The sequence below is a fragment of the Homo sapiens genome, chromosome 2 (assembly GCF_000001405.40).
Source record: "Homo sapiens chromosome 2, GRCh38.p14 Primary Assembly".
Taxonomy (NCBI): domain Eukaryota; kingdom Metazoa; phylum Chordata; class Mammalia; order Primates; family Hominidae; genus Homo; species Homo sapiens.
This window is the reverse complement of record NC_000002.12, coordinates 133,289,065-133,303,832: the sequence shown is the minus strand read 5'-3', so window position 1 is coordinate 133,303,832 and position 14,768 is coordinate 133,289,065. Positions and strand designations below refer to the sequence as shown.

The 14,768-nt window shown below is 38.3% G+C and overlaps 1 protein-coding gene across 18 annotated transcripts in view; it reads left to right on the top strand.

Annotated features, from left to right (window-relative positions):
* The window catches only part of NCKAP5 (NCK associated protein 5), a 1,003,049-nt gene that overhangs the window by 371,004 nt on the left and 617,277 nt on the right, over positions 1-14,768 (top strand). For 17 of the 18 annotated variants that reach the window (XM_017003975.3, XM_011511100.4, XM_047444134.1 and 14 more), the window contains one exon: positions 723-796. The exons of the other annotated variant lie outside the window; for it this stretch is intronic. In XM_017003975.3, coding sequence (XP_016859464.1) covers positions 723-796 — 74 coding nt within the window. The remainder of the gene's footprint in view (positions 1-722; positions 797-14,768) is intronic. 18 annotated transcript variants of the gene reach the window in all.

The following is a 14,768-nucleotide window of genomic DNA, read 5'->3' as shown; positions in this document are numbered from 1 at the left end:
AATAACCTATGGATTTTTCTGCTTACTTCTCATGTAACACGTGAATTCTTTAATTTTTTTTCAGATACATTTCAGGAAAATAGTTTGATTTAGAGAAATAAATTTACATATACATTTCTATAGAGCAGAATACACCATACCTTTCAGGTCTTTTTAGAAGCCAAAGATTTATGTTTAAGAATAAAAAAAAAGCAAATACACTGTTTTGTGTGTATATATGGAGTTGAAGAAAAATGGACATGTCCATTAGTGTATACAAGTGCCCAATGAATATGGGTATATATTATATTTATATAAAACATTCTACATAGTTTGAAAACATTACTTTTGCTGGAACATGACTGTCATAAGACCAGTAAAATCAAGAACTGTTTTGTCTATTTTCTTTTTCTATAATTGGCAGAAATATTTATATACAGTAGAACACAGACTCCAGTTTAGATGACTATGAAATTTAGGCCTTTCTTCTGTGAATAAGAGGATTGTAATGCTGACTCAGTGTAATGACAGTTCACTTCTGTGATTTGTTTACAAAACTATCATAGGACATGAAAAAATAGTATTTACATATGATTGCAAGTCATAGAAGCAGAGAATCCTAGAACCGGAAGGGAAGTAGGGATAATGTTGTCAAAAATACTCCTTGTAGAGATAAGGTCAGGGTCTTAGGATGGTGGGGACTGTCATAGTGAGTTTTCATCTGTCTTTGTCTGCTTGTGCAGGAATACATGGACTCCAATAAATACATTGAGCATCTGCTGACTCAGCTTGAGGAGCAACACAGGAGTCTCTGGAGGTGAGTTCAATTCATGTTCTTATTTGCTTGCTCAGGTAGCATCCTTTATAGCTTTGCTGATCTAAAATATTTCAGTTAGACTACAGAATATATACTAAGTCCTTGTCTGGCTAAAAACTGTTAGATTCTAAGAAACTATCATCTTGGAATGGCAAAATTGTAATGTGAAAACTAGAGCCCAAATTATTTGATCCTTGCTTGCTTCAAGATTTATTTATTTATTTATTTATTTATTTTTTTTATTTTTATTTTTTTATTATACTCTAAGTTTTAGGGTACATGTGCACATTGTGCAGGTTAGTTACATATGTATACATGTGCCATGCTGGTGCGCTGCACCCACTAATGTGTCATCTAGCATTAGGTATATCTCCCAATGCTATCCATCCCCCCTCCCCCGACCCCACCACAGTCCCCAGAGTGTGATATTCCCCTTCCTGTGTCCATGTGATCTCATTGTTCAATTCCCACCTATGAGTGAGAATATGCAGTGTTTGGTTTTTTGTTCTTGTGATAGTTTACTGAGAATGATGGTTTCCAATTTCATCCATGTCCCTACAAAGGATATGAACTCATCATTTTTTATGGCTGCATAGTATTCCATGGTGTATATGTGCCACATTTTCTTAATCCAGTCTATCATTGTTGGACATTTGGGTTGGTTCCAAGTCTTTGCTATTGTGAATAGTGCCGCAATAAACATACGTGTGCATGTGTCTTTATAGCAGCATGATTTATAGTCCTTTGGGTATATACCCAGTAATGGGATGGCTGGGTCAAATGGTATTTCCAGTTCTAGATCCCTGAGGAATCGCCACACTGACTTCCACAATGGTTGAACTAGTTTACAGTCCCACCAACAGTGTAAAAGTGTTCCTATTTCTCCACATCCTCTCCAGCACCTGTTGTTTCCTGACTTTTTAATGATGGCCATTCTAACTGGTGTGAGATGATATCTCATAGTGGTTTTGATTTGCATTTCTCTGATGGCCAGTGATGATGAGCATTTCTTCATGTGTTTTTTGGCTGCATAAATGTCTTCTTTTGAGAAGTGTCTGTTCATGTCCTTTGCCCACTTTTTGATGGGGTTGTTTGTTTTTTTCTTGTAAATTTGTTTGAGTTCATTGTAGATTCTGGATATTAGCCCTTTGTCAGATGAGTAGGTTGCGAAAATTTTCTCCCATGTTGTAGGTTGCCTGTTCACTCTGATGGTAGTTTCTTTTGCTGTGCAGAAGCTCTTTAGTTTAATTAGATCCCATTTGTCAATTTTGGCTTTTGTTGCCATTGCTTTTGGTGTTTTGGACATGAAGTCCTTGCCCACGCCTATGTCCTCAATGGTAATGCCTAGGTTTTCTTCTAGGGTTTTTATGGTTTTAGGTCTAACGTTTAAATCTTTAATCCATCTTGAATTGATTTTTGTATAAGGTGTAAGGAAGGGATCCAGTTTCAGCTTTCTACATATGGCTAGCCAGTTTTCCCAGCACCATTTATTAAATAGGGAATCCTTTCCCCATTGCTTGTTTTTCTCAGGTTTGTCAAAGATCAGATAGTTGTAGATATGTGGCATTATTTCTGAGGGCTCTGTTCTGTTCCATTAATCTATATCTCTGTTTTGGTACCAGTACCATGCTGTTTTGGTTACTGTAGCCTTGTAGTATAGTTTGAAGTCAGGTAGTGTGATGCCTCCAGCTTTGTTCTTTTGGCTTAGGATTGACTTGGCGATGCGGGCTCTTTTTTGGTTCCATATGAACTTTAAAGTAGTTTTTTCCAATTCTGTGAAGAAAGTCATTGGTAGCTTGATGGGGATGGCATTGAATCTGTAAATTACCTTGGGCAGTATGGCCATTTTCACGATGTTGATTCTTCCTACCCATGAGCATGGAATGTTCTTCCATTTGTTTGTGTCCTCTTTTATTTCCTTGAGCAGTGGTTTGTAGTTCTCCTTGAAGAGGTCCTTCACATCCCTTGTAAGTTGGATTCCTAGGTATTTTATTCTCTTTGAAGCAATTGTGAATGGGAGTTCACCCATGCTTTGGCTCTCTGTTTGTCTGTTGTTGGTGTATAAGAATGCTTGTGATTTTTGTACATTGATTTTGTATCCTGAGACTTTGCTGAAGTTGCTTATCAGCTTAAGGAGATTTTGGGCTGAGACGATGGGGTTTTCTAGATAAACAATCATGTCGTCTGCAAACAGGGACAATTTGACTTCCTCTTTTCCTAATTGAATACCCTTTATTTCCTTCTCCTGCCTGATTGCGCTGGCCAGAACTTCCAACACTATGTTGAATAGGAGCGGTGAGAGAGGGCATCCCTGTCTTGTGCCAGTTTTCAAAGGGAATGCTTCCAGTTTTTGCCCATTCAGTATGATATTGGCTGTGGGTTTGTCATAGATAGCTCTTATTATTTTGAAATACGTCCCATCAATACCTAATTAATTGAGAGTTTTTAGCATGAAGGGTTGTTGAATTTTGTCAAAGGCTTTTTCTGCATCTATTGAGATAATCATGTGGTTTTTGTCTTTGGCTCTGTTTATATGCTGGATTACATTTATTGATTTGCATATATTGAACCAGCCTTGCATCCCAGGGATGAAGCCCACTTGATCATGGTGGATAAGCTTTTTGATGTGCTGCTGGATTCGGTTTGCCAGTATTTTATTGAGGATTTTTGCATCAGTGTTCATCAAGGATATTCGTCTAAAATTCTCTTTTTTGGTTGTGTCTCTGCCCGGCTTTGGTATCAGAATGATGCTGGCCTCATAAAATGAGTTAGAGAGGATTCCCTCTTTTTCTATTGATTGGAATAGTTTCAGAAGGAATGGTACCAGTTCCTCCTTGTACCTCTGGTAGAATTCGGCTGTGAATCCATCTGGTCCTGGACTCTTTTTGGTTGGTAAACTATTGATTATTGCCACAATTTCAGAGCCTGTTATTGGTCTATTCAGAGATTCAACTTCTTCCTGGTTTAGTCTTGGGAGAGTGTATGTGTCGAGGAATGTATCCATTTCTTCTAGATTTTCTAGTTTATTTGCGTAGAGGTGTTTGTAGTATTCTCTGATGGTAGTTTGTATTTCTGTGGGATCGGTGGTGATATCCCCTTTATCATTTTTTATTGTGTCTATTTGATTCTTCTCTCTTTTTCATTAGTCTTGCTAGCGGTCTATGAAATAAATATGCTGGTGCTTAATTACGTGATGCCTCATATTGTACCGAAATTGTTTTATTAAGTACATTTGTCTCACCCACCCTCAGTAAGCCCCTAAAGTCATTGATTGATTGATTGACTGAGACAGAGATTTGCTCTTGTTGCCCAGGCTGGAGTGCAATGGCAGGAACTTGGCTCACTGCAACCTCCACCTCCCTGGTTCAAGCAGTTCTCCTGCCTCAGCCTCCCGTGTAGCTGGGATTACAGGTGCCTTCCGCCACACTCGGCTAATTTTTTTTTGTATTTTTAGTAGAGACAGTGTTTCACCATGTTGGCCAGGCTGGTCTCGAACTCCTGACCTCAGGTGATCCACCCGCCTTGGACTCCCAAAGTGCTGAGATTACAGGTGTGAGCCCCCGGGCCCGGCCCCTTTATTTCTTTTCATCTCCTTGCGGCATGGGGAGAGTGCTCTCTCTGTACACAGAGATGGCAGGTAAATACTTACTAACTCTCTTGTTTTCTTGCTAGACCTCATCCAAATCCATCACCATGGGGCTCCTCACCAGGCCGGGTTGCCTCTTCTTGTTGCGCCACTGTAAAAATTCTAATAACCTCAAAATTTATCTTCTTTCAGGCGTTCTAGGTCTTGGGTAAAGTGCTATATGTTTTAATTTGTTATATTCTTATATTTGTTTTTATACTGGAAGACAGACCTCTGATTACAGTAATAGAGAATATTCTATTTCTATACATAGAAAAACTGCTGGTAGGATACAACAAAAATTCAGTGAAGTCTGTTCGACCCTAATGGACACACCAGTTAATTTTTATTTATTTATTTATTTATTTATTTTTATTTTTTTAAATTATACTTTAAGTTCTAGGGTACATGTGCACAACGTGCAGGTTTGTTACTACATATGTATACATGCGTCATGTTGCACACCAGTTAATTTTATGTAATTGATGCAATATTTGCTAGATTTGTCTTTGAGAACTATAACCTGATTCTGATAGTTTTATTTTGTGAACCAATGTATTAATTAAATCAGCAATAACATGTATGGTTGTATCCTTTTAATTATATTTTCCATAGATCTCTTGGAAAGTATATTTTTAAAACTGTATAACCGGTATAATGTTTTATTTCAACTATTTATACGGAATATTTTATTTTTCCCATCTTCCAAAAGAAAAATTTACAAAAAATAATGAATGCCATCTGATGAAAGAAATTTAGAGTTTAATTTGGTTAGTAAGTGTATCTTACACGCATTATTATAGATGAATAATGGTTTCATGGGCTCTTTGAACCAAAACAACCTGCATGGAAAGGGCTATTTTTCTTACTTTCTTGAGGTAGCTAATAAAAACCTAGGTCTTCTCAGATATGATTAAATTAAAATTCCATTTCAGGCATGGAGTTAACATAAAGTGAGAGCTTAGAATTTTCTGTACAGTTACTTCTATTTTCCTTCAGAAATGGAATTATTACTGCTGAGGAAGCAAAGCCTTATATATAGTGTCAGAGGATCTAATAAAAATGCTCCATTTAAATAACAATAGAAGGTAATAATGACACTTGGATAGTCAGAATAATTCCATTGAGAAGATGGAAATGGGTGGTATTGAAAGAAAATGAACTCCAATAATAGCAGATTTATATACTATTTATTGAATCATGAAATTACTTTTGATTATATTTTTGCCAACAGATCCTGACTTCACTGACTTAAAGTGACAGGCTTTATGATGGTTGTTACAATTTCATAACAACAACTGTAGCCAAATTGTTTTTAGAGAAGAATATGTGAGTGACAGTGAACAGTGTAGGAAATCCTTTCTGGTTATGATTAAATTTTTAAGTGCTTGTTCATAAGTTAGAATAGAATCTGTGATATACAGGGGATCATGGGAATAGCATGTCATGTTCACAAGCACAACCAGATTGCCTGAAGTTAAACAAATGCTCCCATAAATCAGTATAGGCTCCTTCTCTGATTTTATATGCCTTTGATTTGTGGCTGCTACCATTGTCATGGAGTGGGCTATTTGTCATTGCTGCTAATGTTAACTGGTGGCCTTCCATTTATACTGGAGCTAACTTAGAGTCAAGTTCTGAACATCTAGATCTTCCAATAATAATTGTGGTCAGGATTAATTTATGGCTACCACCTTTGAGGACTGATCAGAAGCATGGTTGAAATAAGGCATACTCTTGTTGCCACTTGGTGAATAAGACTTGGATAAATAATATAGGACTAGGTGCAAAGATTAAAAAGTTTCCTTTCCTCCATGGAGGGGGCTGCTAGTCTTTAACCAACTTTAGTTGGTTCTTATAGCATAACCATCTGCTGTGACACAAAAATATATTGCAATAACACTCTTGAGATAACTGGTTATTTTGGGGTCCTGTCTAATATTCTGTTGAAATAGACCTATAATCTATCTCTGGGTTTTCAAGTTGCAAAGGAATTTATGGAGTTCATAAATAACTGTCTAGCAATGAGCAGTCCTTTAAAAGCTCAATTGTCTTTTTGATAGCAACAAATCCTTCCTAAAGAGGAAAACTGAGAATTCATCTAAAGAAGAGAATGGAGTCAGAATCTAGAACTTAGTCTAAGACTTGAGCATAAGTCGGGGTGAGTTTAATCTGCTCTGTATCTCCCTGCTTGATTTAAAACACACACACACACACACACACACACACACACACACACACACACTGTGACAACCTGTATACTAGTTCAGGTTGAAACACAACCATAATTTCCTGTACTTCTATTTGTTCTAATGTGAAAAGTTAATATTAGGAGAAAAAGAATTTTTTTATATCATTTGTTGCTATTTCTGATTTGGCTAAATATATTTGTGACAAGAAACATAAGAAAAAAGTGCTGAAAATGTCTTTCCTAACAAGTGATAAAAAATCTTTATCCATTTGCGGCCTCATATTAAGAGTTTAGAATAAACAGGTGGAATATACAAATTGAATTTATGAATGCTTATGGCATTGAAATTACTTTCAAGCCACAAATGTAAAATTATATATAAAAAAGTGAGAGCAGCATAATACTACACAATAGGAAGAAAACTGGACTGGAGGTTTTGGGGACTTGGACTCTTGTCTGGCCTGCATAAACTGGCTGCTAAATAACATCTCTGAAATGGAGTTTTCTTATCTGTGAAAAGAAGGTATTAATATAGCTAGTATTTAAGATTACTCAGCACTGAGATTATGAAATGGTGTCTGGAATATTATATTGCATTTATAAAACACATGTTTTTAAATAACACTTAAATATTATGCAATGATACAGCTACATAATACAAATGTCATAGAAAGCTTCAAAGAACCTATGAGTAGAAATGACTAATGGAACAATCTAACAACTTGCCAGTAGCTCAACTAGATAATGTCCAAGTATTCACTTAAGATATTCTTTCTTTTTGTGTTAATGGGAGACTGGAGTTTTACTACTACCCAAATCAGCCTCCTCCGAGATTCAGAGGTCAGAGTTTTTAAAAGATAGTTTGGCGGTGGGGGTGGGGATGTTAGAGAATGGGGAGTGCTGATTGGTTGTGTCGGGATGAAATCATAGGGAGTCGAAGCTGTCTTCTTGCGCCGAGTCAGTTCCTGGGTGGGGGCTGCAAGACCTGATGAGCCAGTTCACCTTTCTGGATGGTGCCAGTTGATCCATGAGAATGCAGGGTCTGAAAAACACCTCAAATACCAATCTTTGGTTTTACCATAATGATGTTACCCACAGGAGCAGCTGGACATGTGAGGAATCTTGCGGCCTCTGGCTGCATGACTCCTGAGCCATAATTTCTAATCTTGTTGGCTAATTTGTTAGTGTTATAAGGGCAGTTGGTTTGGTCCCCAGCCAAGGAGGGGCTTGTTTCAGGAAAGGACTGTTAGCATCTTTATTTCAAATTTTCATAAGTCAAATTGGTGACAGTTTTATCAAAAACCTTAAGGTAATGAAGAATGAGTAATAGGTCTCCATGATCAAAATCAAATGACAAAATCTGAATGCAGAGTGCCAGCTACCAACCACGGATTCCAGATCACCTAAGCCTCATTTGAACAAGCTATATCTGCACTAGGGTTTCTCAACCAAGGCACTGTCGACATTTGGGGCCAGACAATTCTTCATTGTAGGGGAGGATGTTTAGGATGATCCCTGGCTTTCACACCACCTGCCAGTAGTATCCCTCAGTTGTGACAACAAAAATGTCTCTGGGCATATTTCAAGGATTCCCTAAGGGACAAAGTCGTCCCCTCTCACAGTTGAGCATCAGTGGTCTAAATAATCTATGCAAGCATTTTCCTGAGTATATTCCAAGAAACACCAATACTCTGCGTCACTATGTCATAGATATTTTAAGAAAAATGAGGGTACTCCATGGTCAAATAAATTTTTAAAATTTTAGGTAAAACCAAGTCTTAAACATTTTGTTTTAATTGTAGAACTTCTCAGAGCCATTAATCCTGCTAACATGTGCTGCGTATATGCAAATATTGGATATAAAATTTTATTTTTTACTTTAAAAATAAAACTCCAAATCCTATCTGTCTTAGAGCATCTACTCTAAGGTTCAAGGAACATATCGAGGGAAGTGGTGATCTATCTAACTGCTATCCAAATATAGAATACATATGACTTGTACCACCTGCTTCACTGGTACTGGGCTGGGTGACTTAAGGGCATCTAGCAGTGAGTTGTTGGTAAAAGGGGAAAAGAGTCTGGGTTGTTGGTAAAAGGGGAAAGTCAACCTGTAGGAACCTCAATCCCAAGTTCCTCACTAATTTCCTGAGGGGAAGTCAAAGCCTCAGTACAAACTTCCAAGAATCTAAACTACTGATTACAAACCATTTGCCCAAGTAAAAGACTTAACTCTTGCTTCCCAAGGCGGGGGAACTGATGGTTTCCTACATCACCAGGGGGAGTAAAAGACTAATTTTTAAAGCATGTATAGTCCCTAGTCAGAAGAAGATCCTCTAAGGCTCATCCCTTCTAGCAAAAAAAAGATAATTACTTTTATATATCCAAGATTTTTAAAATGGAATTTTACCTTTCCTTTCTGGCTTGCATGTGATTCTTATTCTAAGAACAGAAATAGGAAAACATTGGGTAAAAACTTTGCTTTCATTCTCCTTATGATTCAAATATGTCTTAACTAAGTAGAGTGAACATTGAAATAAAATGATCCATGCTCAAAATGCTCATTCATGTTCTCCATAATTTTGATATATCTATACATTTTTAGCTAGAGGTTAATGGCCCTGGTGCCTCTAACGTTCCCTCCAGCTCTAAATTGAGAGAGAGAAATTGCTTGCTGCGAGGCCACATGCCATTATTCTATCCTTGAGGAAGAAATATTCTTTGCTAAAATGTTATCTAGAAATTATCTTGTAGTTGTAAAATACAGGTAAGAAGAAAAAGCCGACATGCTCTCTGAGAAGAGTCAGGCCCAGAGCCTCTTGAAGATGTACCTTCTGTGTATCCTGTATCTAAGAATCCTATCATCCAGGCATCTTAAGAATTAGCATGCCTCTATCCTCATGGGGTTAATTTATGTAGACTAAGGGGACGCCGAGTATTAAACAGGTTGCCTTCACTGTAATCATAGACCTCCACTGGGAGCTCTTAATTGGCAACAAGTAAAATTGCTCTGCATGAATTCTTAATGGTGGACACTGAATAAAATAAGAACTATGATTTGTTTTTTAAATCCCTCAAGAGGAAAAGAGGCTGTCTCTTGGGGAGAGAATGTGTAGCAAACAAAGAGAGAGCTCAGTGCTCTGTAATAGCAATAAAAGCTCTGAAAGCAAAACATCACGCTATGCCAACTCAATAACAGCACATGGTTTCCTGTTCTGCATCCCTGATTCACCCTGCTGAGGTCAAAGGAGACCAGGGCTAGCGTGCCTCACATTATCTTTCCCTGTTCTCAACCCTTGGGATGAATTTCTAAATCATAGCTGTATTCTCAGCCAAGTGCAGACCCCAGAGCCACCCTGGAAACCCATCAAATGTCACTCCCCAATTACCCACCAGGAGTTGTTTCAGAGATGCAGACAGTCCCAGACCCCTGCCAGGATAAGAGTCTGGCCTCTCAGCTATGCCCTCTGTCCAGCACAAGGGAGATGAAACCAGGGCTCTCGAAATTGGGTATTGCCACATGCTTCAATGGTTATGTTATTCCTGAACGGTCGTAGGGAGAGCTATGGGATAAGCTATCCACCAAAGGATACTTATTATAGACTGCTGGTCATACTTTAGAGAAGCAAGGGAGTGTTCAGGCTTCTTATAACCATGAAGCCCCTGATGAAATAACATCACTGTCTTCCAAGAACCTTTCTTCCAGCAACAACAGGGTTTAGTAGAACTACGTCCAGAAAGACATCTGGTTTGATTGAACCAGATCACCCAGAAGATATCACCTTGCACCTTGGGATCGATCTTCATTATAGTTTACTTAGGTCACCTGTATGTGATATGCATGTGTCTAATTAGGGGGTGCCTAGAGTTTGAATCCAGGTTTTCTGGGGCAAGGAGACACAAAAAGGGTCAGGGTAAAACTCTGCACTCACTTTCTATCTGTGATTTCCTGTTTCTTATCAAATCTGCCCACTGTTCTTTAATTCATCATAGAACATATATTTAGGTCCTAACCTTGGGAGTTTATCCCTTCCTCTTCACTCTAAACCTTGTTTGCAAGAAACATTTCACATTTATCAAGATTATTCCACTGGGGCATTGAGGGATGGAGGGGGTTCTATAAAACACATTTTAGGAGACTCTGTCCTGCAGAAGTCCAAAGAAGGCTTCCCAGAGGAGGTGGCATTTTGAACCAAGGCTTGATTAGGAGCAGAATTGGAGTGAGGGCTGATGAAGAGTCAGTAATGGAATACATTGAATTTGAATTGTCTTTAAGACTTTAAGCTCTAACAGTACAGAGGATGACGAGAAATTCAGGACTAGGATCTTTATAGTTAATAAATAAACCACTGTATAGATGGAGTCACTATTAACCAACAAAGATATAAAATTGATCCCTAATGTAACTGGGGAAATATTCGTACTTAAAAGATAGATTTACTGCCACCGCAAGAAGCTTGGATTTGAATAATACTGTACAAGTAGGCCCATACATGACTTAAAAACTCCACTTCTAGTTTAAACAGGTTTATATTCTTCAAGAAACACTCCAAAAGTACCAAAAAATATCCCAACATCAATACGATTTGGGGGTCACCCAGAGAAATTTACCACTATTTAATCTAAAGACATTAGCTTAAAACACACTTTTGTTATTTTTAGATCCATGCTTATCTTAATATGACAGCCAGGAACCTAATGTGATTTATTTATCTGAAATTAAAATAAAAGGCCTCAAGCAAAAGGCATTTTGTAGATTTATTTGGGGTAATAAAGATTACAAATATTCCCTACTAAGTTGAAAGAAGAAAAACTCCAGCAGACAACAGTGTAAATGGCCCCCTTGACATAAATGCATGTATTAAGGCTGAAGTGCACTCACAGTAAGAAGCGACAAAGTGCCTCTTTTTTTTTTTTTAAATCTAGAAGGAGAAATGAAATGGGTAATTTACCATGGCTTTCTATTTAATTTTAATTTTACTGGAAAAATTCACTAACTTGTTAGGGCATGAGCATACTTATGACTTATTTTTTAAAAAGGTACCGTTAGGATATAACCCTGTATCTCTCTCCAAATGGGTAACTCTAGATTAAAAATAAGTCATTTGTTTGCTTACTACCTCTGTCCCCCAACCCCATCCCATTCTTCTTAATTTCTCCATATTCAGAGGCCTGAGAGGGAGTTCCATTACCCTACCTCCACTCTCCTTTCCAACCCTGGGGAGGGGTGTTTGGGCCTCTCCAAGAAGAAGAAATACAAAATGCATTTTTTCCTTCAAGGTTTTAACTATGGTACACTGTATAATTTTGTATTATAAATCAGACCTCATAAATAATCCAAAGAGCTAAGGATGGCAAGGTTCCTTGAATCAAAGAATCAGGAATAGGTTAATGGAAATGAAAAGTCGTTGGTAGAGCTGTGTTCTAAGCTATCTCAGGGCGGAGAACATGCGTGGGAACGCAAACGTCTTTTGGAGGGTGGGTGAATTTTGCCTTCTTTGGCTGGTTTCACGGCCCAGGGAAGCCTCTGGAGTTTGCCTCAGGGGTACCTGGCTTACTTGGTGTCCGGGCTTTGCCTTCTCTCGAACACTCAGTGATTAAATGTCATAGATGTATTTTCTGTGGCAGTTATTCTAGACGTTCACCAGGTGTAAAAGCCTGAGAGAGAAAGTTAAAGGTACTGAAGCTCCCAGTGCGGTGCTACCACATGAATCACATTTTACCAATAGGGGAGATCTGTCACCTGGACCCTGGGTTGCTTTGGTTGCAGCCCTCTGCTCTCCTTTCCTCCCGCCCCATCTCCTGTTGACGAGGACAATGCTGCCTCTGCGATGCTTCAGCAAAATACCCCAAACATGTAACAGTGACTCTGTCCTTACCTCCAGGAGCCTCTAAACCAGTTCCCAGCATGTTGCTCTCAATCACACTGACTTGTTTGTCTAATTATCTCATGAGAGCATGTTTTGTATGTTTCACATCTTTAACCTGTAAGACCAAGTCTTCCCATTCCTCTATCTCTCATCATGCTTGGCATAAAACATGAAACTTCAAACATAAAGTTTCACCCATCTTGAAAGCATAGAGACAAAAACTGGGGATGTGTTTTGTGTAACTTTGTTCCTAAGTGACTTAGCACATTATGGATACTCCAAACACTTTTCTTGAGACTTTACAGGGACTGTTGATGATTCAAGAGGAGAAACTGTCCAAGCATGGTGGCTCACTCCTGTAATCACAGCACATGGGAGACAGAGGTGGGCAGTCTGCTTGAACCCAGGAGTTTAAGATCCTGTCTCTACAAAAAATTAGCTGGAAGTGGTGAGTGCTCCTGGGTCTCAGCTACTCAGGAGGCTGAGGTGGGAGTATGGTTTGAGTCCAGGACTCTGAGGCTGCAGTGAGCTTTGTTCCTGCCACTGTACTCCAGCCTGGGTGACAGAGCAAGACCCTGTATCAAAAATAAACAACAACAACAACAAAAAAAAAAAAAAAAAAAAAGGAGAAATTCTTGTGGCCTCATATGTTCATTAGGGATGAGACCACCTTTATCTGTAAGTCCATGCAAGAAAAAAAGTCAAGCAAGCATGGCAAAAAGTCATTTGTCTAAGTGGCTTAAAAATGTTAAAATGAGATACACAATTTCAAGATACTATTAGAAAGTTTAAAGATTGAAATGTTTAATCATAAAGTGTTTAACCAAAAAGCAAGAAGTTTTAGGGCTTGTCATTTCTGTGAGCATGTCACTGCATGTCATAGTGAAGGCTCTAACCAGTAGCAATAATAATCAAATGTATATTTGTATCTCATAATTTTATTCTGTTGATCTACCAATTATGATTTTGAGTTACAAACAACCTTATCAGTAGAAGCAATGAAAGGATATCTCATGATTTTGAAATAACACAATGAAGAGGCAATTTTAGATTTTTAAAAATTCATGATGAAAATCAAGGCCTAAAATATTGTGTGTTTTTTTTTCCATTTGGATAAAGCAAATTAGAGAACAATTGTAGACATGTAGATCAAGCTACTTTTACAAACATAATCAGGGCTTAACCTACAAGGCTTGAAAGTGGTATTTACGGAGAAGGTATTGATAATTTTGGCAAGACCAACATACACTTGAATGCAGAATGGAGCTTATATGGTTTGGATTTGTGTCCCTGCCCAAATCTCATGTGGAATTATAATCCCCAGAATTGGAGGAGGGGCCCAGTGGGAGGTGACTGGATCATGAAGGTGAATTTCCCCCTTGCTGTTCTCGTGATAGTGCGTGAGTTCTCATGAGATCTGGTGGTTGAAAAGTGTGTAGCACCTCCACCTTTGCTTGCTTCTTCCTCTGGCCATGTAAGATGTGCCTGCTTTGGCTTCCACCATGATTGCAAGTTTCCTGAGGCCTCCCCACCCATGCTTCCTATACAGCCTATGGAACTGTGAATCAATAAAATGTTTTTTTCTGTATAAATCACCCAGTCTCAAGTAGTTGTGCTGTTTTTTTTTGTTTGTTTGTTTGTTTGTTTGTTTTTATTTTTTTTGGAGACGGACTCTTGTTCTGTTGCCCAGGCTGGAGTGTAGTGGCACGATCTCGGCCCACTGCAACCTTCACCTCCTGGGTTCAAGCAATTTCCAGCTAATTTTTGTACTTTTAGTAGAGACAGGGTTCCACCATGTTGGCCAGTCGGGTTTCAAACCCCTGACCTCAAGTGATCTGCCTGCCTCGGCCTCCCAAAGTGCTAGGATTACAGACATGAGCCACCTCGCCTGGCTTCAAGTAGTTTTTTTATGGCAATATGATAACAGACTAATAATATAGGAGCTTAGCACAAATAACAATGACCCGGGCTGCCAAACAGAGGGTGAATTTTCACAGGATTAGTAACAAGAAAGACAATGGAAAAAAAAGGCAAAAAGATGAAAAAGGGAAGAACCAACAGTAAAAATAAATTATGATTATTTTATTACCTAGCTCCTTTAAATAGCTTGATAGTAAGTGGCACATTTTTTCTCTTTATCCCTTAAAGTATTACTGATATACACTGTAATCCAGTTGGGGCTGGTATTTAATGGCACACCAGTACAATCAGAGGCTCTATTCTAACTGTTTGGTGATTTTGTCATACCATTGCTAAGTTTTAAAAATATCATCCCTGGTTCATCTTCTG